The 27350-nt window shown below is 40.3% G+C and overlaps 1 protein-coding gene across 2 annotated transcripts in view; it reads right to left on the bottom strand.

Annotated features, from left to right (window-relative positions):
• The window catches only part of PGM5 (phosphoglucomutase 5), a 174451-nt gene that overhangs the window by 50207 nt on the left and 96894 nt on the right, over nt 1–27350 (bottom strand). For both annotated transcript variants that reach the window (NM_021965.4, XM_047423473.1), the window contains exons 7-8: nt 15647–15762; nt 1302–1437 (exon numbers count right to left, since the gene is read on the bottom strand). In NM_021965.4, coding sequence (NP_068800.2) covers nt 1302–1437; nt 15647–15762 — 252 coding nt within the window. The remainder of the gene's footprint in view (nt 1–1301; nt 1438–15646; nt 15763–27350) is intronic.

Genomic DNA, 27350 nt, shown 5'->3' with positions numbered 1-27350 from the left:
CTTTCATTTACTTAAACAACGGGAAAGTGATATAGACCCCCAACCCTAAGCTCCTACCCACTGATCTTTCCTTTTCTTCCTTCCAAAATAATGGTTTCCTTTTCTGTACTTCTTTTTCCCTGTTTTTTTGTTTTGTTTTGTTTTGTTTTTTTTTTTGAGATGGAGTCTCACTCTGTTGCCCAGGCTGTAGTGCAGTGGCACGATCTCCACTCACTGCAACTTCTGCCTCCCAGGTTCAAGCGATTCTCCTGCCTCAGCCTCCCTAGTAGCTACAGGTGTGCACCACCAAACCCAGCTAATTTTTGTATTTTTAGTAGAGACAGAGTTTCACCATGTTGGTCAGCCTGGTCTCAAACTCCTGACCTCAGGTGATCCGCCTGCCTCGGCCTCCCAAAGTGCTGGTATTACAGGCGTGAGCCACCACACCTGGCCTGTACCTCTTTTCATGAGGACAAAACTTTAACAATATCTGGGGCTCTTGAACCATGAGGTTCCTTCAAGGGGTGCCAGCTCAGGCATCTTGGACACTGAATCTGATTATTGGTGAGGAGGTAAGAAAGAGGTAGAGAGAGGATTATGAAAGCATACCAACCTGTCACAGCTTCTGTGTCTGCCTTTTTTACTTGATAAATATGAATGGAAAACCAACAAGAAATGCCTCTGGTTTGACTGCACGGCTCTCACAGCCATGATAGTTACCAAATAACTTTTCAAAGCTCTGCAGTTCAGAGTTCCTCTTGAGAGGGCCACCTACCTTATAGGCATTGATGAAAAGATTAAAGAGTGATGTCATCAGGGGAAAGGAAATTGGTGCCTTCCAGCTTGGTAGCCTTTGACACCACCCCCAACTATCTATAAGGGGTGATTCAGCTCCAGCCTCTGTGTTCCTCAGATCTTCTGGGAAGATGCCTCCTTTTTTTTTTTTTTTTTTTGAGACGGAGTCTCGCTCTGTCGCCCAGGCTGGAGTGCAGTGGCGGGATCTCGGCTCCGCCTTCCGGGTTCACGCCATTCTCCTGCCTCAGCCTCCCAAGTAGCTGGGACTACAGGCGCCCGCCACTACGCCCAGCTAATTTTTTGTATTTTTAGTAGAGACGGGGTTTCACCGTTTTAGCCGGGATGGTCTCGATCTCCTGACCTCGTGATCCGCCCACCTCGGCCTCCCAAAGTGCTGGGATTACAGGCGTGAGCCACCGCGCCCGGCCTGATGCCTCCTTTTTAAGGTTCTAGCCCATCAGTTTTAGAAACCTGTTCTAGGAGTAGTTCTTCAGGGTCCATACAGAGACCCTTCCCCTTCTCCTCACCTGCAATAGTAGTGGCGGCCAAATTTGGCCCAGTGATCTCGGACAATTTCCTCCACACTCTGCTTCCGGGCAGCAATAATGGAGAGCCAGACCAAGACAGCCCACAGGCCATCCTTCTCTCGGAGGTGGTCAGAGCCTAAAGGTGAAAGAAAAATTCTGCTGAGCATTCATTTGTGGGAGCAAAGCAAAAGCTAAATGAATTAAGAAGACCAGTTAGTGATTGAATGTTATGTAGAAATGATTGGATCATTTACCCATTATATTAAATATATGTCTCCTAATACATTTGCATTTCTGAAAAATATCCAACTGAAATTCAAATAAAATAGTAAAAAAAATAAAACTTGGAAATTTCTGAAGGGATCAGAGAGCCAAGTTGACATCTCATTAGCCCAATGAGATTATTCATTTATTCAGTAAATATTTAGTGACCCCTACAATATATCAGGCATTGTTCTACGTCTTGGGGTAAAGCAGTGAACAAGATAGTTCTTTACTCATAAAGTTTGAATCCAAGTAGATGGAGTTAGGTGGAGACAGGCAAAGAAAAGTAGATAAGAGAACAAGATGCATCAAATAAGGACAAGTGCTTTGAAGAAAATAAAGAGGTGATGATGTCACAGAGCATAACAGCACCAAAAGCTGCTTGACCTAAGGTTGGCTGGTGGTTCCCCGACCCAACAGATATGTCCACCTGGAACCTGTGAATGTGACCTTATTTTGGGAAATGCTCTTTGCAGATACAATTAAGTTAGGAATCTTGAGGTGAGATTATCTCAAGCACCTAAATCCAATGATAAACATTCTTATAAGAAGAGGAGAAGACACAGAAGAGGAGAAATACAGAGGGGCAAGCTATGTGCAGACAGAGGCAGAGATTACAGTTGTGCCGCCACAAGTCATGGAACATGTGGAGCCACCAGAAACTGAAAGAGGCAAGGGGAATCCTCCTCTACAGCCTTCCAAGGAAGGGTGGTCCTGCCTACACCTTGGTTTTAGACTTCTGGCCTCCAGAACTATAAGAGAATACATTTCTACTGCTTTAAGCCACCCAGTTGGTGGTGATTTGTTATGACAGCCCTAGGAGATTAATACAGATAGTTAGGGTCTGCCCCCACTGAGGCAATGGCATCTGAGCTAACCCCTGAGAAGAAGTCAGACATGCCAAGATCTGGGGATGACGTATTCCAAGCTAGGGCACAGAAAAAGCAAAGTTCCTGAGGCAGGAATGAATAGAGAAGGTATATCCTACAGCTATTCATATAGAAAGAGTTGGAGGCAGTTCTTATTGCATCAGGCACACAAATGAAGACTGCAGTCTAAATGACCAGCTTCCTGTGCAATGAGAACCCAGAAGAGTGTGTCACAGGCCCATTTGGGTATCTGTCTGTTAGCCAGTTATAAGCTCTCTCTGAAGTGAATAAAGCCCTGTATGTAAAGAAATGTGTTGTAGTACGAGACATGTGGTATCCTGGGGAAGGCTTTAGAATTAGGGCTTAAGCCAAACTGCTACTTCACAGATGTGTGGAAAGTTATTACAAAGTCATTAATTCCCCTGAGCCTCAGCTTCTCATTTGTAAAATGGGGACCCCATCACCCATTTTGCGGCATTGTTGTTGTATCAACTTAATCAAGTTAAGAGGACAAGCTCTAGAGTTAGATTTCTCATGTTCTAATCCTGGCTCAGCCATTTACCTTTGTTTGCGGTACTCATCTGTAATCTATGGACAATAACAGCCCCTACCCCATGGGGTTACTGTCAGGATTAAGCAACTAAATATGCCCAGATGTTCAGAACAGTGGCTGGGATATCACATATCTTTGCTGTTGATCTTGTTGTTGGTAATTTTAATAAAGCTGTGTGAATTACTGCAAGGTGCTGATTCCTCAATACCTGCTTTCAGAAATTGTTCTTGGTTATTCATGTAATTTTATCCTCTCACTCTAGCAATAGTAATGTCTTAAGAAACAGGACTGGGTCCACAGAGTGGACCTTCTTGCAGCAGGGCAATGAGAATGGACAACAGTATTCTTGGGTTTCAGAACTACAAAACATACATGGAAAACCAACAAGGGAGACGCAACGCCACAGAGCTGTTTAACCCCTGAAAATGGGATCAAACAATACTTAAGTCAAACATCTTTGACAACTTCTAACTAAAGCTACAGACCATTTACCGTACTTGTGACATTTATGGTGTTAAATGTTAAACTTTTTTTCTCAATAAGGAAAACATGCAAACCTGAGGGGGGCTGTGAAGGTACTAAAATCAATAAGAAAAAGGGTCAGGTTTTTAGTTCTTCCTACACACTGATCAACGGTCTGCTAATGGCACTGTTGGATGTCCAGTTGTGGTTGCCTCTGGGTTAACAGGACCCTGGGCATTAATCATCACACCATGAAGTGTCTTTAGTCTTATCCAGTGAATTCTTTACACTGCTACAAAAATGGAAGAAGTTTGGAAGACTGAGTTAGCTCCATGGCCAACTGCCAAAAAACAAGTTTAGGAAACCCTGCCCAGTGGGATCACTTCAAAACCTTTTGTCCTTTTACAGCTGAAAAAAAAAATCACTTTTATTTACTGGCTAGAGAAAAATACCCTTTTGTTCTAAAACATGGGCTTTGCATACCTTCGAACTCCAGCTGGATTACATTACCTAGAGATAGAACCATTAGATGCTGTTAAATCTGTGAGATAAGATGTCATAATTTAGTGCTAGAGGGACATAAAGTTCTTTTAGGTGGATAAACAAAAAAACCCACCTCAACATTTGTAGCCAATTGCATAGTAAATTGTGAGTTGGCTTGGACATCCTTGCCTACAAGTTAAACATTTGCCAAGATTAATAAGGGGCTGATGATGAAGTAAAATTAACAATGCCCTTTATAGTTCTTTGAGTTTGGGACAGAGACATTAATGATGCTTCAATTACACAGATGTTTCCACTGGATGATTATAGTGTACTTTGGAGTGGATTTGGGGGCTATAACTCTCCTTTTAAAAAGGCTTTCAGGCAAGTGAACGCTATGCTGTATCAGTGACAGGCAGATTAAACAAGAAATTCCAGAAAGCACAAAGGTATCAAATGGTTTTCTAAAACCCCACTATAAACAGAGTAAAAATGGGAGTAGAAATGTTCACACTATATATATGACAGGGATAATAGGCTGGATATTTTTTTAATGTTTTCATAGGTCAATAAGAAAAAGAGAAACCTCAATGGACAATGGAATGAAAAGGCACAAGCATGCAATTGTCAGAGGAAAATAATAATAGTCAACATTGGAACAAATGTTCACCCTCACTGTGGTCAAAGAAAAGTGTGTAAAATGGGATACCATCTGGGGCCTGTCAGGTTAGCAAAGGTTTGACGGGGGAAGAGTTAACTTGGCAATAATGATCAACAGTCTTTAAAAATATCATGCAGCTTTCGACCCAGCTATTTTATTTCTTAACCTTAAGTCATAGGACATTCAATGAAGTAGATAAGAGAATAAAGAAAAATTGGAAAAATATTGTTTTGATTTTTCTGAGACAGGGTCTTGCTCTGTCACCCAGGCTGGAGTACAGGGGTTCAATCATGGCTCACTGCAGCCGCGACCTCCCAGGCTCAAGTGATCCTCCCACTTCAGCCTCTCGAGTAGCTGGGACTCAAGGTGCACACCACCATGCCTGGCTAATTTATTTATTTACTTTTTTAGAGATGGGGTCTCACTGTGTTGCCCAGGCTTAATTGTTGAACAATAGGATCATTGCACAAAATTCATTCAAAACCTTGTGGGTAGACAAAATAAATCAAACAAGAATCTTTAGTAACACAGAAAACCATGTTTATTCAATTCTTTTCATTTTATTTTATTTTTATAGTTTCAGGAGGTACAAGTCCAGTTTTATTACATGGATATATTGCCTAGTGGCTTTTAGTGTACTCATCACTTAAATAGAAAACATTGTATCCAATAGGTAATTGTGCATTCAATTTTAATAAATGAAAAATCAGTTTACTAAAAAAGAATATTCAGTATATTTTTATAAAAAATATAGATATGTATATATGTGTGTACACAAGTAAACAGAAGAATATACACCAAACTCTTAACATGGTTATTATCTCTGAAGTGGTAGAACTGCAGATGCTTTTCCTCTCTTTCCTTTTAAATATTTTCGCAATAACAACGTATTATTTCATAAGAAAAAAATAAATTTTTAAAGTTGTTAGCCAGGCACGGTGGCTCACACCTGTAATCACAGCACTTTGGGAGGCCAAGGTGGGGGAATCACCTGAGGTCAGGAGTTTGAGACCAGCCTGGCCAACATGGTGAAACCTCGTCTCTACTAAAAATACAAAAAAAAAAAAAAAAAAAAAATTAGCCAGGCATGATGGCAGACACATCCATGTAATCCCTGCTACTTGGGAAGCTGAGGCAAGAGAATCATTTGAACCCAGAAGGTAGAGGTTGCAGTGAGCTGAGATCACACCACTGCACTCCAGCCTGGGCAAGAAGAGTGAAACTCCGTCTCAAAAAAAACAATAAATAAAAATAAAGTAAACAAAGTTGTCAATGGTGCATAGAAATTCACATTTAAAACATGCCTTTTCTAGAGTCATATAGTTGGGCTCATCTAGTATGTATTTTTTTATTGTCTTCTTTTGCTTAATAATATGCATTTATGGTTCCTTCATGTCTTTTTATGGCTTGAGAGTGAGTGTCTTTTTAGCATTGAATAACACCAGCACAATTTTTGAAGCTTGCTGCCTGGCTCAGGACATTGCAGGGAGAATATACCCATATTTCCAAAGCTGTAAGTACCACTCACCTTGCCTTTCTCATCCAACCTAGCCCAGCCCAAAGCCCACGCAATCTTACTCTGAGCAGCCCTGAGAAGCAGCCATCTCCATCCACATACCAGAAGGAGGGCGCTCAGCTCTTCTCTGCCATGACTCCAGCAAAAACTGGTACAAAAAAGAAGGCCTTTTTTTTTTTCTAGAGAAATATCACTGTTCCCCCTCCACTCAAATTAAACTTTGAATTTTCTCAATCTTCAAAACCATGCTACTTGAGCTAGGCAGGACACTAATAAGTATATTGCCCTCACAAAAGAAAAGGGAAAAATAAAGAGAATGCTCAATCATCTTAAAGATGTTTTCTTCACATGGAAACACCAGTATGGACACATCAGCTCAATAAAGCATCCCATGCATTACTAACAGATCAAGCCATTACAGCTGAAACTCAGATAAGGAAATTCTAAATTTGTCAATTAGGAAAACTATAAGTCAATTTGCACCTGTTGCCAACTCCAAGTTGTAACATATGTTGGCAATTTTCAACCCTGCACTGCACATTAGAATCACCCAAGGAGATTTTAAAAAAATACAAATGCTCAGGTCTCACCCTGAGCCAATAAAATAAAAACTTTTAATGATGGGGCCCAGGCATTGGTATTTCTTTTTTAAAAACTCCTTGGGTGATTTTCACAGGCAGCCGGGCTTGAAAGTCACTTGCTTCAGCAGAAAGGCACCGTATGCAGTCTCATGTTTGGGGCAGAATGCCTGGGGGTAGTGAGTGAGGCCTCTTCCTCTTTTTGCTTGAATGTGGTGCTAAGGGAAAGCAGCCATGGGTCTCTCATTTAATTCACGGCCCTGGCCTTGCTCACATGGGGGGGTTCTCACTGGAGTCAGCTTCAGTATCAAGATTTCTCCTTGCCATTTTCATCTGGAAAACTGAGGACTTTGCCAGCTTTGGAGTGACCAACTTATCCTGGTTTGCATGGGATTTTCCCACTTTTAGCACATAAAGTCCCACATCTCATGAAACTTCTTAGTCCTGGACAAACCAGGATTGTTGGTCATACAATAAGAGAGGCCACTCACTCAAAGAGGTTCCTGATTATTTTTGAAGCACAATCACAAGGAGGATAAATTCCATTCTAAGAAGAAAGCAGCAAGGCACCAGGCACTGCGCTAGGGGATTTTATGCATCTATTATTTAATTTCCACAATTTGATAGCCCCCTTTTACAAATAAGAGATTGAGCTTAGGTCATCTGTATGAGGCCACACAGCTACTAAGTGGTAAAAAGAAGGTTCCAAGCTGGGCAATTTGGCTCCAAAGCCTATGGACTTAACTGCCACTGGATTATCCCAGCAATGCTGTGGCCCTCAGGAGTTGCAAGAAAGCGGGTAAAGCATCCTATGTGGTGAGAGCTGGGGCAGGCTTTCTAAAGGACAAGCTGCAAATTTTCCCTTTATTTCTCCAGTTTACCTTTTTTCATTTAGAAATGGTTTTCATTAATTTGCAGCCTTCTCATCCTTTTTTCAGCTACTCAAGATAAAGATTTGTCTTTGAAAAATAGTGGAGTTATGAGGTTAAAGTGGGGTCACTCTTTTTGGGTGGATCTGAGATTTGAGAACATGCTACAGAATTGTGATGGAGATCGATCGATCGATCGGTAGACTGATAGATAGATTGATTTTCATTTCTCAAACCACTTATGTTCAGATCTTTAACATCAGGTGAAAAAGCAAGGCTCACTGAAAAAAAAGTCACCTTTCTATGCTTAAAAAAATATTCTTAAATGTACCTAATGTTCATCAATTAGAGAACAAAGCTCTCCTGCATGTAAGTCAGAGCCAGGTGCAAGCGCAGAAGAGTCAGACAGCAGCAAAGGACACATCCTGTGCTGTGGGCAATGTGGCTCCCAGTGAATAATTCTGTGTCACAACACATTTAATAAGTAAAATAGTAATAAATAGTGTTTCACACAAGGCTGATATCCTGACCATAGCAACACCCTATAAACTCCCTGAGGGAAGGGCCTGTGTCTGAAATTACTCGCACTCTACCCTGGGCTGGCTCATAGAAGGTGTGCAGTAAATGTTCACTGAATGAATAAATGAATGCCTCTTTAGTATGTAGTGCATATAATTCATCAGGTTTGCTCCTCACTAAGGGTAGCTAGTTAGAAGCAACCTGAAATATCATGATGGAAGAAACCTACAGATCATCCCCTCAGACGAAGTTGTCTCGCAATGAGGAAATTGAGTCACAGAGAAGCTAAGCTATTTGTCTAAGAGAGGGGGAGTCAAGATGGAAGCTGGGTCCCTCAACTTCTCATGCCATGCTGTTTACATGAGACCATTCTCCCAAGTCCCCTGGCATTCCTTCTACCTTCATCCAAAAGAATAACCAGGAGGGGGTTGGGGAGGGTGGGAAATGACTCATCAGCATGAACTGAAAACATCAGCAGCAGACACTGTGAAGCCAGCAAGGTTGGGTTTGAATTGTGGCTCAGCCAGTGTGACTTTGGCCAGCGGCTTGACATTCCTCCCTAAACCTCAACGACTTCATCAACAAAATGGGGTCATTAGGGTCTCTATACCATCATTGTGAAGAAGACTCTAAAATAAAGTACAGGAGGCACTAGGAATTGTGTCTATCACTTAGGAGGCATCAAGCCATCCATCCCAGAGCAGGGAGCACATTAACCATATCATGGCCAGCCAGCTGACATGCTTCCCTCACAGAGCATACCAGCATGCTCCTAACTCATACATCCCAACTCATTTTTTTTTTTTTTTGTCACCAAGGCAGATAGGAACAATAGGACTCTAAGAATTGTCCTTTTTTTTTGAGATGGAGTCTCACCCTGTCACCCAGGCTGGAGTGCAGTAGCACGATCTTGGCTCATCACAACCTCCATCTCCTGGGTTCAAGTGATTCTCCTGCCTCAACCTCCCGAGTAGCTGGGATTACAGGCACCCGCCACCACATCCGGCTAATTTTTGTATTGTTAATAGAGACAAGGTTTCACCATGTTGGCCAGGCTGGTCTTGAACTCCTGACCTCAGGAGTTCACCCGCCTTGGCTTCCCAAAGTGCTGGGATTACAGGCATGAGCCACTGCACCGAGTCTCTCTTTTTTTTTTTTTTTTTAAGAGACAGGGTCTTTTTGTGTTGACCAGGCTGGCCTTGAACTCCTGGCCTCAGGCAATCCTCCTGCCTCAGCTTCCCACATAGGCACAAACCACCATAACCTGTTTAAGAATTGTTTCTTGACAGGTCATACACTGAATCAAAAATCTCTCCAGTGGCTTTTAAGGTTGAAGACCTGTCACTTCTACAGTCACTGTACTGTGTTCTCAGTGGGGCCACCTAGCAACCAGTAGTCTCCTAGAATGCAGATTGGGAAGCCTCGAAGCACAACTTTAGGGATTGTATTTTAAATCCCAAGGGACAGTTCTCCTTGTTAAAAGTCCCTTACTAGACACTGGGAAAAGAACCCCTTAGTCTGTTTGGAAGTCTTCAGTCTCTGACTAAGAGCCATGATGTCTCAGGACTCCCAGTCAGTCCCAGGATACTCTGGTCAGTACAGATGTGGTTTCAGAAGCCCCATTCCTTTGTTTTTGCTCCACCCTTAGGTGTCACACAACACTCCCTCTTACCACTTTTCATTAGCTTGGAGGATTAATAGAAGGATCAATGGAACTGGGACCATTGAGATTCCAAGAAAAGGATCTTAGTGATGGAGACATTCTTCCAATGCTAAGTGAGAGTTCTGTTTCCCGGCACAGGGGTTGATCATTCACAGAGGACCCAGAAGGGAGTTTCAATTTTCTGGCTTTATAAGAAGGCTCACGGGGGTGTCAATCATAGCACCTCTGTGCTCTGGCCCAGCCTAGATTGAAATGCACACATGCACTCAGCCTGTTTCAAATAGCCCCACAGAGAAACTGCTCATCTAGCACTGATAATGCTGTCATCATGGCCTCCACACCGCACATCTGCAACCCAGCCAAATTTATACACACTGGCCACAAATAAGAAAAAGAAGTGCAGTAGGACCTCAGTAATCTGAAATGCATGGATATATGGCCTCTTTCTCTCTCCTAGAGACTAGAATCGGCAGATGCGAAAAGAGACAAATGTAGAGGGAATAACCATCCAGATAGGGAATGGACTAAAGTTTTCCTATATTTTACCTTTTGAGGAATATAAAATAGTAAATGTAATAATTGTATAAATAAGAGACAGTTAAACTTACTCAGTATTTGTGCAACAGCACTATTGTGAACCCAATCTTCAGTTAGGATATACATCATTCATATGTGAAATATAAATGAAGAAAGAGGCATGGCCCTAAACATGTTACAAACTCTACAACTCTCAGGGGAAATAAAGTGCTCATTCACAAAGTAACTGGAGAATGATAACATAAACCATAAGACAACAGAGCACAAAATGACTATGCTAAAGTCAGTAAGAATTTGGTGCATACAAAAGATCACTAAAGCTGGAACCTAGCCCACTGTTGAACATGGCTATTTCTGTTATTGTCAACAACTACAGGCATAAGAAATAAACAAGTTAACATAATAAATTATAAATAATTTAAAATCTGTTTATTAACACTAGTTCCAGGAAGGGAGATCTCCCTAGAAGCATGTTGTTAGCTATTAGTTTGTGCTAATAATTATGATGATTGAAAATATTTAAAGATTATATTTTATATAATTCTAATTTTGTTATCATTCATAACATCTCTCCCCATCCCTTTCCAAATGGTCTGTATTTGTGTGATTTTGTTTTATAAATCTTCCCAAATCTTGGGATACCCAAATACCCAGATCTTCAGAAATACATCCATTTAAGGATGACAAAAAGATAACTACTAATAATACAAGGAAGAGATAACAAAACGAAAATTCTTTGTACTTTCCTTCCACCCACCTATCTTCCTTTCATCTTTCCAACCTTCCTTCCCTTCTCCCATTCATCCTTTTATCTTTCCACCCATCCTACAAGCATTTACTTAGGGCCTACCATTCATCAAAGAAATAGAGCTGAGAAAGATAGACATGGGCCCTGTCTTCAGGGCATTTACAATATTGGCATGGAATCCATGCATGGAAGCATCCAGCAAACCTCAAAAGACTGGAAAGATACTCAAGAGTCCTTGTGACACAGAATACACACACACTCAGGGCCCCTTCTTGTGCTAGAAATTGGGCACATATGAAAACAGTCAACTTCAAGAGCACCAGGCTGTACTTCAGAGTTCACAGTGGAAAAATTTGGTGTGACAAGTATGGACAACTCATGCTAATGCCAGCAGCTCTGGATTCAATTCCAAATTTCTAGAAAAAGATGAATACATACAAAAGGTACATACTAAGTGCTCATTTTTTTTTTAAAAAACACTATTATTTCTGTGAAAGACTCAACAGAGTACTTTCTTGGAAATAATAAACATTGTTACATCGCTTGATTTTAGTTGGCAAATTTGTATGACTATTGACATTAGTTTTTAAAGAACACATAGTAAAAAGTAATAGTGGCCGGCATGGCGGTTCATGCCTGCCATCCCAGCACTTTCGGAGGCCAAGGTGGGCGGATCACTTGAGGCCAGGAGTTTTAGACCAGCCTGGCCAATATGGTGAAATCCTGTCTCTCCTAAAAATACAAATATTAGTCAGGGAGTGATGGCACACGCCTGTGGTCCTGCTACTTGGGAGGCTGAGGCATGAGAATCACCTGAACCCAGGAAGCAGAGGTTGCAGTGAGCTGAGATAGTGCCACTACACTCCAGCCTGGGTGACAGAGCAAGAGTCCATCTCCAAAGCAATTAAGAAATTACTTTTAGAGTTCCACTTGTGTACTTCTCTTTAGGATATGAAAATCAGTAAGAGAAAGCTATTCCCATCCTAGCAATGGTAAAAGGCAATTTTAAAGCTCTATAGGAAATATGACCCAGTTTCTTCAATGAATAAATAATAAGGGCAAAATGTAAAGAAGAGAAACGTAGATTAAAAGAGACTTAAGAGACATATCAGCCAATTACAGTGTAAGATCTTTTAGAACCAATTAGAACAAACTGTTAACGGGGAGGGGGAAAATGAGGATAGAGGAAATTATTAGAAAATTCTGAAGGGTGTGGTGTTGAGCATTTTGTATTCTACACACCATCCAACACAATGCCTGGTACTCTGTCAGCACTGAGTAAATGTTTATTGAATTGAAATAGGCAAATACTTATTACTAAAAGCGTAACATGGCTTACACATGGAATATTTACCCCTTTAATTGGAAACTAAAAGTCTATAATATATTGTAAACACTTAATAAATGCTTATAAAGACAGAGAAAAGGGATAACCTGTACTTACCAGTTTTCATTCCAGTTGCTAGATTTATTTGACTAACTAGTGGCAGAATTATTGTATACAATATATAAGACTCTAAGTAACTAGGAATGGGAACAATAGTCTATATAAGCATGATGTTCTCAGTTATAAGTGGGAGCGAAATGATGAGAATTTATGAACACAAAGAAGGAAACAACAGACACCGGGTCTTCTTGAGGAGTAGGGTGGGAGGAAGGAGAGGAGCAGAAACGACAATTATTGGGTACTGGGCTTAATTCCTGGGTGATGAAATAATCTGTACCACAAACCCCTGTGACATGAGTTTGCTCATGTAACAAACATTCACATGTGCACCTGAGCCAAGAAAGAAAGGAAGGAAGGAAGGAAGGGAGGGTGGGTTGTAGGTTTTAGGGGAAAAACACAAAAAATATTTTATTCATAGATTATGTGATTATATATTTTAAAATCCCAAGAGAATATAGAGTTTTTGGAAAAAAAATCCACTACAATTAATATGATAATTAAATTAATAATTACTATAATTGCAACTAAGGAAGTTGCAAACCAGAGAAAAAGCATATTAATCAATAGCTTCTCTTCATATAAACATTAAGCAAATTAGAAAGGAAAATTAGGACAGCAGCATCAAAATCAAAGCAATTTTAAAGCTCTATAGGAAATATGACCCAGTTTCTTCAATGAATAAATAATAAGGGCAAAATGTAAAGAAGAGAAACGTAGATTAAAAGAGACTTAAGAGACATATCAGCCAATTACAGTGTAAGATCTTTTAGATCCAATTAGAACAAACTGTTAATGGGGAGGGGGAAAATGAGGATAGAGGAAATTATTAAGAAATTACTTTTAGAGTTCCACTTGTGTACTTCTCTTTAGGATATGCAAATCAGTAAGAGAAAGCTATTCCCATCCTAGCAATGGTAAAAGGCCAGGAAATCTCAAACATGGTAAGTTTTCTTGAACTCAGAGATCTGAGATGACCACACAGTCAAGTGAATTCCAAAGAGCCACTCCAAGGAGAGACAGATCCTGAAAATTCTCTCAGCTTTGGCAAAGCATAGGAGAAAGAGGAGGCTGCCATAAAAACCAGATAATAAGAAATCATGTAAGAGTTTAAAAAATTCTTAAAGGCCTAGTATAGGCCTTTACATTACTTTAAAATCACCTGGGGTTCCAGATACAAGGGGCACATTTTTAAGTTCTTTTCCACAGATTTCCACTGGGTCCTCACAAAAAATTAGGAACAAAGAAGGAAACTTGGTGGTACAGGTATGCAAGCGACGATCAGCTGTCACTGGGAGACAAGGATGAAGCCCTTCTGCTCCCCCAAACCCTTCTCTTACATGAAACAAATGCTTTATGTTCCTAGGTGTACACGCTAAAAACCTTCTCATCCCCAGGTCCAGAAAGAGATCTATTGTCTCTGAGAGACGGGCAAAAGTAAAAACTCTTCTGCCTCTGGGGAGAGGGTAGGAAAACTTGTGCTCAGAATCCTGCACCAATACTAGTCAGAGGTCTCTGCTACCAGGGAAAGTTTAAGACCCTGGAGATAGAACTGTATTTTGTGTTACAGACTTGCAGTCACTACTGAAAACTGAGGGAGAAACAGGAACACTTAAAAACCTCTCCAGTACCCTTCCCCAGTTCCAGTACCCAGTAAAAATATGCCACTGCTGGGGGAATTTGAGGCCTGTGGTACACTGAAGGTTAAAACAGAAACAGTAAAACCCAAACCCAGATCACCGCTTGACTAGGTTAACTTAACCTTCCACACTAATTGCCCCAAAAAAGGGTTGTACCCATTTCTAGGCATAAATACAATTGACCTGAATATCTACTGTTCTTATCCACATATTATTCAGCATTCAATAAAAATTTATGAGATCTACAAAAAACAGGAAAACCCAAACCATTGTCAAGAGATAAAGCAATCAGCTGAACCAAAGTCAGAGATGAACCAGAGATTGGAACTATCAGACAGGGTGTTTAAAACAACCATGTCTAATATGTTAAATGATCTAATGAAAAAGATAAACAATTACATAAACAGATGGGGAATTTCAGAGAACTAAAAACTATTTTAAAAGAGTCAAAGAGAAATGCTAAAAAAAAAAAAAAAACACACAGTATCGGAGAAGAAGAATTCCTTCAACAGGCTCATCAGCAGATTGGACACAGCTAAGGAAAGAATCAGTGAACTTAAAGATGTTCCAATAGAGACGATCTAAACTGAAACACAAGAAGAAAAAAGGGGAGAAATAAATCAGAAAAATGAATGTAAGAGCTCATTTGTCATCACAAATTATCTAACACATGTGTAATTGGAGCCTCAGAAGGACAAGAGACAAAGAATGGGGAAGGAGAAATATTTGAAAAAATAATAGCTGAGCATTTCCTAAAATTAATGAACAACAACAAACAACAGAGCCAAGAATTCAAGAGAATCCCACATAGGGTTAAATACATACATGCATACACCCCTAGACACATTATTAATATGATTAGACTTTTGACAATCAAAGATTAAAAAATATTGAAGTCAGCCAAAGGCAGGAGACTGGGGGGTACTTTACACAGAGTACTTTACATAGAGGAATAAACATAAAAATTAAATCCGACTTCTTGGACATGATGCAAGCCAGAAAACAACTGGATGAAGTATTTAAAGTATGTAAAAAAAGAAAACGTTTTTAACATTTTAGGTGTGATAATGGTACTGTGGTTATGTGGTTTTTCTGAACAAGAGCCCTTATATTTAAAGATTCATCTTGAAATGCTTACGGATAAAACAATGAGCTACAGAGGATTGCTTCACAATAATCAGGGAGGAGTGTTCCCCTGCGGATGAGGGTAGAGATAAAGGAAGATTGATCACAAGTTTATGGTGGTTGAAATGGGAGTGACAGTAACATGGGGATTCAATGCGATATTCTCTCTACTCTTATACACTTTAAAGATTTCCATAATAGAAATTTTTAAAGAAAGAGAAATTTCTAAAAAGAAGAAACAAAATGGACAAAAGAGGTAAGCATATCACAGCACATACTCTACTAGGTTTCTCTGATTTTTTGCCTCTACTTAACTGTTCCTCTGTAATTCACAGAAAGTTCACAGATCTCCAAACTGAGATCACAAAAGGCTGCAGCCGCCCTCCCCAGTAATATCAACCCAACAAAGCCTACCAGTGCCAAAGCTCTCTTCCCCACACAGATTGCAACGTCCTGAGTCCATCAGATTTGAGAAGAATCTCCATCCAGCTGGGGTCTCATATACAGGGACCTTCATTGATTTGGCCACTCTGAAAAATGAAATTTGAGAAAAGTCAATTCATATATTTCATTTTCTGTTTTTTTTTCTCAGCACAGTAGGAAGTCTTTAGGATCTACTAAATCCATAGCTAGATTTCAGAACAACCTGGGTAGTGTTGACAGATTTCAGGATATCAAGCCATAAGTTAGAAAATAATAAACAACCCATTTCAATGGTTCTCAATTTTGCTTTCTCCACCATATAGAAAATAATAAGTTAATATACAGAATATTTTTTACATTTGTTTCACTTCTATACATTTTTCTTTATCTTTTTGGAAAGAGTCCATGTGGGGATATCAGAATCTAAATTAAGAGGGTATTTGGGCATAAACACTTGGGAATATTGTTTAACAGTATCTACTAAAGATGAACTGTGATGCACTGCTCAGATTTACCCCCACCCACTCACCTACTACCCCTTAGACACACGTGTGCACACACACACACACTTTAGACATTTTAGGATAAAAATATGCATTCTACCAGCTACTAGGAAGGCTGATTGCTGACAGCTCGCAGATGTGGCCCCTGTTCTCTGCCAAAGAGAAATGTGTCACCCCAAATCATGTTCCCATGCCTGGGTTAATCCACATGCAATGACTGGTATAAAGGGATATATAAAGGCCTGGCCTCCTTGCCCAAATTTTGCACAACTCTAGAGGGCCATTTCAGCTCCAGAGCTCCCCACAAGTTGGCTGAGGCCTTTGTTGTGACTGCATTTCAATCCAACTTCTCTGTGTTCAATCCTCCTTCCTCACTCCCCTATAAGTTTTGATCTTGAATGCAACTTTGATCTTAAAGGCAGAAAGGAATAAACTTCCTGAAAGCAAATATCTCTTAGAGCTGCTTCCTGGGGAACCTAGTGTGCAATGTTGCTCAACAGGGTGTATATATAAGATTTTACAAGTATGATCATAGAATCACAATTTGTAATAACTGAAACAATCCAAATGTCCATCAAAGTAGAATGGACAAATAATTTGTGATATACAATGTAATACCATAAATCCTATTGTGCAAACTATTGCCGCATGCAACAATTTGAATGAATCTCATAAATATAACCCAGACAGGATCTGGCTTATGATGGTTTGACTTACAATTTTTCCCCTTTATGATTGGTTTATCCAGATACAATCCCATCGTAAGTTGAGGAGCTCCTATGACTTATGGTGGGGTTGTGGTTTCTACTGAATGGCTATTACTTTTGCACCATCATAAAGTCAAAATTCTTAAGTTGAACCGTCATATGTCAGAGACTGTCTGCTGTATTGCCAGCATTAAATGCATTTTTGACTTAACAATATTTTTGACTTAAGATGGGTTTATCAGGATGCAATGCCATCTTAAGTCAAAGAGCATCTGTATTAAGTAAAAGAAATCAGTAACAAAGGTGTATATACTGTATTGTTCCACTTAGATAAAATTAAAAAACAGCGAAAACTTATCAATGCTGTCAAGTTTCAGGCTCAGAGAAGTCAAGTTTTTGTTCAAAGTTTCACAGAGGTAAGGGGCAGTGCTAGAATTGGGACCCAGATCTGCTTAATTTCTCCTCATGTTCCATTCCATTACACCATCCTGTCTCTTCAAATGTCTTAGTGCTTCATGAAGGATGTAGATCTCAAAGCAGGCTAGGGAATGAGCTGGTACCACAGACATTGGCCTGAAGAGTTTCATCTTCCCCAGAGCTAGCAACTGAAAGAGAAAAACACCAAATGCCTACGAACAGCAAGATTTAGTTATTTGAAGGCTGTGAGTGCAGGGGATGACCGTAGAGTGGGATCAATGAGGGTCTTGAGAAAGAAGAGGAAGAAAGACAAACACAGGATAAAATACGCCGCATAGTAATGATTCCTTTAGGTTGGCTTTGTGGTCAAATAAGGAAAAAAAAAAAAAACATCTAGAAACTCTTGCCATGGGAAGGTGAACACCTCCCTTTTCACAAACCCCAAATACAATGAATGTGCTCAGGACTGAAAAACTGTGGGCTGCCTCTTCCAGTTTGCATTGAAAAGCACTTTTCAGGTGGTCAGCTGTTACTTCAAATATTCCGTCTTCTCTCTTTTTCAATGGTTTAAGAAAGATATAGAATCATGCTTACATTCTGGTAGGAACAATGAAAGAAACCACCCACAAACTATACAGCAAAGGTAAATTTTCATTTACCTTTATAATAACATTATTTTCATGGTCAGAAGGCTATGGAAGGTCAGAATAACATGAATTTCATCATCAGAAACTCAAGGAAGAGAGAATAAGTCACACAGAAGCCTTCTGGGGCAGCACATAGTCAAGCCTGGGTCAAAGTTAATTCAACAAAGATGAATGCATATGGATAACAAATAAAATGCGCAACATGGGGCAGAGGTGAGGGTGAGAGGGAGGGTACGGGGTGTGGGGATGTATGTTCTCTGACCAAAACATTCTTGTAGGTTCAAAGCCAAGTTGGCAGGTCTGAAGGGAGGGAAAAGGATTTCCCCAGCTCCCACCCTTTCCAATTAATCAGTCAGGAGGTCATCAAGCTGAAAGCTGCGGCTGGATTTTAAAGGACCGGATACTTTTATAACTATGAGCCACAGTTGCAGCTATCCAAGCCAAAATAACAATATGGGTAATCAAATTCCAGGATCCTGGGTATGAGTTAATTGTGTCCTAGGGTCAAAAAGGAATTTCCCTCTCTCCTCCCTCTCCTGAACTTGGGATTCATCCCAAACACAGCATTCAGCAGATACCATGCATTAGATGGGTTTTTGGCAGAAAGCCCCTGGAATCTCTGAAATTCTCTAGTACAAAAGCTGAAAACGAAGCTGCCCATGCTGAGGGGCTGAACCCTTCTCCCTAACTGCTTGCCATTGTGTCGGGGAGATAAACATGAGAACTCACTTCCTAGGAAAGGCCAGAGTGTGAAGGGAAAAAAAGAAAGGTAACCTGGGCCACATTTTTTCCTGCGAGTGAGAAGGAGCCTGAAAACTATGCTGGATATAACTCTTTAGTCAGAATTTTAAAACCTCCTAAAATGTGACGTAGGTTGGAAATTGCATCAACCTAGCTTTCCAACAGTTTCTCCCACACTACTCCCTATGTATTCTATGCTGCTAACAAGATGAATGATTTCCTATTTTCCAAATATGCCCTTAAATTTTGTTGTTGTATACTGCCCAGTCCTTCTTTATGCTATTCATTTTTCCTGGATTAATCCTCCTTTCCCACGTCTGTCAGAATACTTCAAGTTGCCTGAAGACCTACCTTAAATGCTTTTCCAGCATAAAGCCTGTTATTCCATTTTGTGCTCTTATAATGGGATAGCTGATACTAGATAATTTATAAAAAATAGAAATTTATTTCCCACAGTTCTAGAGGTTAGGAAGTCTGAGATCAAGGCACCAGCATCTGGTGTGGTGAAGGCCTTCTTGCTGCACATGGCAAAGGCAGCAGGAAAAGCTAGCCAAATGCTGTGTAAAGGCTTTTTTTATAAGGGTCTTAATGCCATTAATGAGGAAGGAGCCCTCCTGGCCTGAACACCTCTTAAAGGCCCTATCTCTGAATACTATCACATTGGCAACACCTGAATTTTGGAGGGACTGAAGTTCCAACATGAATATTGAAAGTGACAAAAACATCCAGACCATAACAAAACCTGTGGCAACGACTGCTACGTGGTCAACAATCCATCTCATCTTTTCAGACACACAGGTGGACTGTAGTTCTCAACCTCCCTTGAAATTAGCTGTGGCCATGTGACTGAGTTCTAGCCAATGAAACTCAAGTTCTAGCCAATGGAACTCCTCTTTCAGATCTGGTTATAAGATCTTTCCATTTTCCATGTTCTTTCTCCTTCTGCCAGCTTGATGTGGACAAGCCCAGCAATCTTAAAAGCCATGTGTTGAAGGCGGCTGACCCACGAGAGGGGAGGACCTGGATCTCTGAATCACCATTTGGAACAGAGTCAACTATGAATCAGGAACACCTGTTTTTAACTTTAGGGGATTGAAAACACCTTTTTATGTGTTTGAGTGGTTATACATCTTGGGGATATTTTTATAGTAGCAGCGACACTATCTTAATGAGTATAGTCCTTTCCTCATCACTGAAATCAATCCAACGTGACCCTTCCTGCTGCGGAGCTTCCGTGGTATGGGTCTTTATGTTCACATTGTTCTTGAATATGCTGTGTGCTTACTGAACACTTTCCCTCCACACACAAACACTATCACCACCACCAATGTGCTAGAACTTCCATGAGCGCAGGAATTGCATCTTGTATGTCTTCATGGCTCCTTCAATGTCTAGAATAAAACAGTGCCTCTCCAGACTTGCCCTCAATAAATGCTATATGATTTCAGTTGACTAATAAATATTATTTAAGGAGTTGTTAAAAGGGCTGTTAAATAGCAGGGGACTAAGTAAATCTATTTTATGGTCTTTGACTCTTGTAGCTTTCTTTAAAATATAAAGTCATTTCTGCATGCTTTATCTAAATTAGTCACTTTGAGAAAAAAGAATTTCTCCAGGTATGAATTAGTGAGGCTATCAGGATGTGGCAAAGGCATATCTTAGAAAGACAGTTCTTACAGAATGAGGGGCAGTGACTAAATGATCCTCAAAGGTTTGAGGAGCAAAAGGATACATTATTTTTATCTGACCAGTCTGATGGTCACCCTACCCTTATGTGATCAAACAGGATAGTAGATACAAAAGTACCTTAAAAGTGCCCTGAAAGCTCACTAAGCACAGGGGTGCTGACATATCCACCTTTGCACCTCCAGTGTCCTGGCCAGTGCTTGCTCATAGTAGGTATTCAAATATTTATTAACCCAAAGCACTATATCATTATGTATGATAAGAGTCTACCAGAATATCATATATTGATGGCTCTGTTTACCTTGCAAGAGAGTAGCCAAAAAAACACAGACTGATCATATCAAGTGTGTGAGGCATATCCAGCTGCTCTTGGAATCCTACTTCAAGAAAGTTGTGATAGATTTAAAGAGCACAAGATCCAGGTCTCTCTTCCATTCCTCTATCTTCAAATGTCCACTTTCTTAAGAGCCAAGAAGGGCCCATGGTACTATTTTCTACACACTGAACTCTCAGACCCCTTTTAAGACCCTCAAATACACAGATTAGAAAAAGATATTTGCATCGTATATATCTAACAAAGGACTTACATGCAGTTTATATTTTAAAAACTCTTATAAATTAGTTTTTTTTAAAGGCAGATAACCTTAAAAAAATAGGCAAAAGTTTTGAACAGGCACTTTACAAAAGACCATATTCAAATAACAATTAGCATATGAAAAGATCACTAGAGATCAGGGAAATGCAACATCACTAGAGATCAGGGAAATGCAAATTAAAACCACAGTGAAATATTACTATGTATCCACAAGACTAGCTGGAAAGAGTGGTACGGCCAAGTGCTGGTAAAGATGTGGAGCCCTAATGTACTGTTGAAGGGATGCAAATTAGTACCAACTGTGGTGTATTTATTTAATGTGGTGTATTCACACAAAGGAGTACCATAGAACAACAAAAATGAACTGCCTGCCATTAGATGAAACAACAAGAATGAATGTCATACTCATAACATTGAGTAAAATAAGCCAGACCCAGAGGAATATACACTCTATGATTTCATTTATGTACCATTCAAAAATAGACAAAACTCATCATTGATGGGAAAAGTCAGAATAGTGGTTACGTCTCAGGAGGAGAGAGAATAAATGATCAGAATGGGGAACAAGGAAGCTTCAGGTGCTATTCTGTTTCTTGATCCAGATGGTAGTTACACGGGTGTGTTCATTTGGTGAAAAATTCCTTGAAGTAAACATTTATGAGTTGTGCCTTTTCTGTATGTCCATTATACTTCAATTAAAAGTATATTTAAAAGAAAAAGCTCTCTGCAGTGTTTATGACTAAGTGCATGTTTGAATTAGTGATGTTTACACAATCCCAAGAAACAAACTACTGAAGATGGAGTTTAATAGCATCCTGGATATGCTGGTTAATGTCTAACAGACATTAAACACAACAGCCCTCAAGTTAGCTCTTCAATATTTTCACATTGATGAGTTCACTCCCAGATCCCTTCTTTGATGTCTAGCACTGCTGGCTGGGGCTGCTGTATGGTAAAAGGCTTATATGAGTTTGCACTTTAAAAGCCTTTTCAAGAAAGCCTACCTGGTTCATATATGAATGAGGCAGAGTTCAGCTAAACCTGGTTTTCTAATAGCAATCTTAAAATCTACTCTTAAACCCATTTTTTGGATGGAACAACTCACACTTTCAGGTATTAATAAAATGAACATAAAACATGAGGCTATCAAAATAAGATAACTACAAAAGTTTTTCAACCATATATATAAATTTTAGCACAGTGCTATTCAATCCTGGGGCCTCCATTATTTCAGCCTGGTCTAAACTTCAAAATCCACATATTAAATAACCCCTGCCTTGCCTGTCTTATCAGAGAGGTTGTGAGGTTCAAATGGGATAGTATATAATTTTGCAAAATGGCCTACAGAGTTGCGATATTATCACTGCTCTTAGTACTGGACATTTCACTTAAACCAAAGGGAACTAAATATATCATTTAAAGAATATTTAAAAGAAAAAGCAAAAGATAACTGCATGTCTCATAGTATCTCTAAACTTCTAGAGTTTGACCAATTATAAAACAAATAAAGGTGGACCCCAACCCCATGGGCCTTTGCCGCTTTACCTAGAAGCTTCTCCACTTTCATTTTAGGTAGGTGTCATGGGGAAAAGAAGAGGACTCTTCCCAGTTAGATCTTAAATTTTGTTAGGCAACATAGGCAGGCAGATTTCTGAAAATCCTAACTTTAATTGAAAGAAGAAAAACTTGGCTTTAGGAAATTGACCAAAGATCCAAGAAAAAAAAAATGTAAAATTGAAACTACCACAGGTTCACTCTCTTCAACTGTTAAATAATCTGGACCCCTACATCTGGGGAATTAACAACTGTCTGTGTTTACAGCCTTGATGCTTGAGCACTTTAATGTAAGCTGTTCCTGGCTCTGGTTATTTTCAAAGAAAATACATTGCCGAGGGTCTAGGGCTGGGGAATTTTAAGTCTCAAGTGCTCCAGCTAAGTTGAGAGATAGTCAAGAGCTAATTGTCAGCTATCCTTCAGGCTTCCATGAGATTGTTCCCAGACTAGCAAGACATGAATCATCTTCTTATCTGTTTGTTTTGTTTTGCTTTGCTTTGTATTTTCCAAGTTATACAGACCTCTTACTGAAGCTTAAAAAAAAATGACTTATATAATACTCTTGGAAGATTTAAAATCAGTTCATTCACTCCTATAAACTAAAAGTGATAATTACTGACATGACAGCTCCAACCCAGGAGATAAAGCATTTCTGTAAAACAAAGCTTTTTATGTCTCTTAAACTATTTTTGTTTGTTCTCTTTTCTATATCCAATTAGCATGTTTTCTTAGATAGTATTATAGAAATCTTATTGAATCTATGTCATAAGACATGAGGGAAAGGACACATCTAGGCACTGGACATTAAATGAATATACAGCAACTATAAATGGATACTCACTCTAAAAGAAGAAGAAAGAACAGAGAAGACTAGTATTTGTATAATGCTGCTTCACTACTCTATGAGTAACAGAGTAATTCTGTGAGGCATGGGTATCCACTGAAATACAATGGCATTATCAGTGTTCCCAAAGCAAATACCTGTTCCTTGCTATGGTATTTCATATTGGATTCTGTTTCAGCAAGGCCACAGGGACCTCACTGTCTGTCCCATGTTCTATGAGGGGGGAATAAAGAATGGGCAGAATATTCTATAAGTTGGGTCTAAATATAAGAAAAAGATTGATAAACGTAATCACATTAAAAATTATAAAATTTCTATTTGTCAAAGACACTAAAAAAAAGAAGTAAGCCATAGATTGAGAGAAGATAGTTGCAATGCATAAAATCAAAGGATTAATGGCTAATCTAAATGAAGAAGTCCTACAAACTGATAAGAAAAACTCAGATGACCTAAGCAAGTCACAGAAGAAGAAGACTGATTGGCCAATATGAAAATATATAGTAAATCAGGGAAATGAAAATTAAAATAACAGCCAGGTATCATGTCACATGCATCACATTAGCCAAATAAGAAAAAAAGAGGCTGGGCACAGTGGCTCACGCCTGTAATCACAGCACTTTGGGAGGCCGAGGAGGGTAGATCACCTGAGTTCAGGAGTTCAAAACCAGCCTGGCCAAGATGGCAAAACCCCATTTCTACTAAAAATACAAAAAATTAGCCAGGCATGGTGGTGGGCTCCTGTAATCCTAGCTACTTGGGAGGTTGAGGCAGGAGAATCACTTGAACCCGGGAAGTGGAGGCTGCAGTGAGCCGAGATTGCACCATTGTACTCCAGCCTGGGTGACAGAGTAATATTCTGTTTCAAGGAAAAAAAAAAAAAAAAAAAAGGACAGGGCACAGTGCTCTTGCATGTAATCCCAGCACTTTGGGAGGCCAAGGCGGGCGGCTCATGACGTCAGGAGATCGAGACCATCCTGGCTGATGGGGTGAAACCCCATCTCTACTAAAAATACAAAAAAAAAAAAAAATTAGCCAGGCGTGGTGGCAGGCACCTGTAGTCCCAGCTACTCGGGAGGCTGAAGCAGGAGAATGGTGTGAACCTGGGAGGCGGAGATTGCAGTGAGCCAAGATCTCGCCACTGCACTTCAGCCTGGGTGACACAGCGAGACTCTGTCCCTCCTGCCACCCCCCCACCCCCAAAAAAAAAGAAAAAAAAAGAAAAAATCTAATACCAAATGTTGGTGAAGTATCATGGGAAAACAGAAAAGAAAAAAAAAGACAGCAAGATTATAAGTTGGTACACTCACTTTACACTCAGAGTTGTTTGAGAATTCCTAGTAGACTTGATCATGCCCTATAATCCAGCAAACCCCTCTCTGGTATCTTTCCTAGAGAAACTTGAACACACGCGCACAAGAAGATGAGGTTCAAGGATGTTTATTACCACACTATATGTGAAAGAGAAATAGAGCTAAATCAGAAGCAACCTATTATCCATCAGAAAGGCACTAGACAAGCTGTAGTTTATTTCTACAGCGACAAACAGCCATAGTCCAAGGCCACCAAATTATAGAATGCAAAAGAGCCACAAAAAAGAAATTGTATGTTCTTTTGTCTTGCAATATTATCTCAGACCCCTGCTATTCCAATTACTGTTTCTTCATCAATAGTCCATATTGAAAACCTAGTGGGATATCGTTCCAGCTCTTTAATAACAGGTTTCAGATATTTGCAACACTGAAGAATTAATGAGACTAAATGAAGAGACACACCACCACCTGGCTCAGAGAAGCAGCCAGAACCCACCAATGCCACCAGGGCTGTGGAGGAACTTGGAAGATCTACCCTCCCCGATAACTATGCCTCTGATGGCAGAAGGCAAGTCTGTGCATGCTCCTGAAGCCAACTGTAATTAATTAGCCTGGACATTTCCCAAGATTCTTAGTGCCTTTTATTTACATGAATAGAACTCAAAACCTTTCCTGTTTTTTTTTTTTTTTAACTAAGAGATGATGCTTATACTTTGTGTACTATGAACATTTCCCCTTCCTTTTCTCCTGCTAACCTGTCCACCAATATCACAGAAAAGAATTCATCAGTCCTGGGTATGGTTCTTATTTTTGGCTCTCTTTAGGGAGTTCCTGTTTTTTGGACAATAGATTAATATCTCTCAGGGCCAAAACTCTACCGATTCCAGGCGGAGATGCCCTGAGCAGGGCAACATGCAAAACTTTGCATTCCCTTTGGGAATGTGAGTGTCAGCTGTCCATGGTGGGTTCAGAATACCATGGATTGAACACCACATTCCACCTGTTTCATTTCATCGTGTAACTCTGATCTGTGACCCAATGGATGACGCAGGTTGCTGTTTCCTATGAAGCCAAATCAGGTCACAGGCAGCTCTCTCTGCATGGTTCCGAGAAGACGAGCATATATCAAGGGATGCACAGGCAGCCACCCTGCCTGAAAGGAACCATCTTCAAGACTGCATTTACCTTCCCAGGGTTTCCTTCGGTCACCCAGGTTTGAGTTTAATTTTATCAGGAAGCATAAGGAAAGGTCATGCCATACTAATTCTGCTCTAATGTCTTTTAAAGAAACACTTCAGTTTAATGACACATAGTTACGAGGAAAGGGAATATTGGAAAGGTCAATGTTCTTTTGTGGGACGTGAGAGTTTTACAGCAAAAGCTAAGGCTGAGTGAGCAGGAAAGGCAGGCAAACATGCGCTGCCTGTGGAATCCAGTTTAATGTCTTAGCACGGAGGAGAGTAGGGACTCTCAGTCCCCACGCAGCTCCACCCCTTCTTGCAGTGCAACCTTGGCCAAGTTACTTAACCTCCATAAGCCTGGATCTTTTACCTACAAAATGGAATGATAATATGTCTCCTTACTCAGTGGGGACTAAATGCGATGAGGCCTGGGAGCCCTGGATCCCCAGAGCACTCCGTGGGCATCGGCAAGAGTGATCGGCCTCATGAACTCTCCTACTGCGGCATCATCCTGCCATAACAAACTATTTTTGAGATGGAGCCCCCTTCAAGCACCAGGCCACTTCAGTTCTTTGCACACATCGTTCACTTAGGTAGGGATACTCCTTGTATCAATGAGGTCCCCAACAGAATTGATGGCACACTCAAAACTGAGTAGTTTGAGAGTTTAATACAGGAACTGTTTACACAGGTGTGGCTAGTGGAGAGGGCAAGTAACATCAGGGCTACCAGCGTCCCATCCCTAGATTCATTACTGAAATCCAGGGACAGATCTGTGTGGATAGGGCTGCTTGGCAGGAACCTTGACCTTCAGAAGAGTCATGTTTCCAGCCTATGGAAATCCTATAGGGAGAGAAAGAAATCCCTGCTTGCATTCTCCTCCTTCTGTCTAGTAACTGCAGTGCTCCCAATTGCCCAAGCCCAACTAAAATCTGGAGGGAAGGGTGGGGATCTCTTGATAGTCCCTATAGGTCAGTCTACAGGACGGGGAGCAGAGAGAAAGAGATGGAGTGGAGGTCTTGAAGGAAAATGAAAGACACCAGTACACTCTTCATCCACCCCCTCCTGGACTTAGGCCGCTTCCTTACTTTCCAGGTTTATCTGGCCAGTCCTCTCTTTGTACTGCCACTGCAAACCCCAGGAGTTAGACACTCAGCACAGGATATTGCCTTAGATGCTGGGACACCTAACTCCTTCTCTAATCCGTTAGTCTCTTGAAGGTAAGTGCTTAAAGACACTTGCTCATTTCATGCAAACTTCATGGGGCCCATCAGAACATGGACTCCTCCTACATTAATATAAAGGTGCTTCCAGAACTTGGTCTTAAAATACCAGTGGAAGCAAATACATGGGATGATTGAAAGTTTGAGATAAGGAGGGAGATTACAGCATGTTCACCCCTGTAATCCCAACACTTTGGGAGGCCAAGGAGGGGGGATAGCTTGAGCCCAGGAGTTTGAGACCACCCTAGGCAAAACTCCTGGCTCAAAAAAAGAAAAAATACTAAAAT

The sequence above is a fragment of the Homo sapiens genome, chromosome 9 (genome assembly GCF_000001405.40).
Source record: "Homo sapiens chromosome 9, GRCh38.p14 Primary Assembly".
Lineage (NCBI taxonomy): Eukaryota > Metazoa > Chordata > Mammalia > Primates > Hominidae > Homo > Homo sapiens.
The sequence above is the reverse complement of the archived record's forward strand: the minus strand, read 5'-3'. Positions and strand labels throughout refer to the sequence as shown.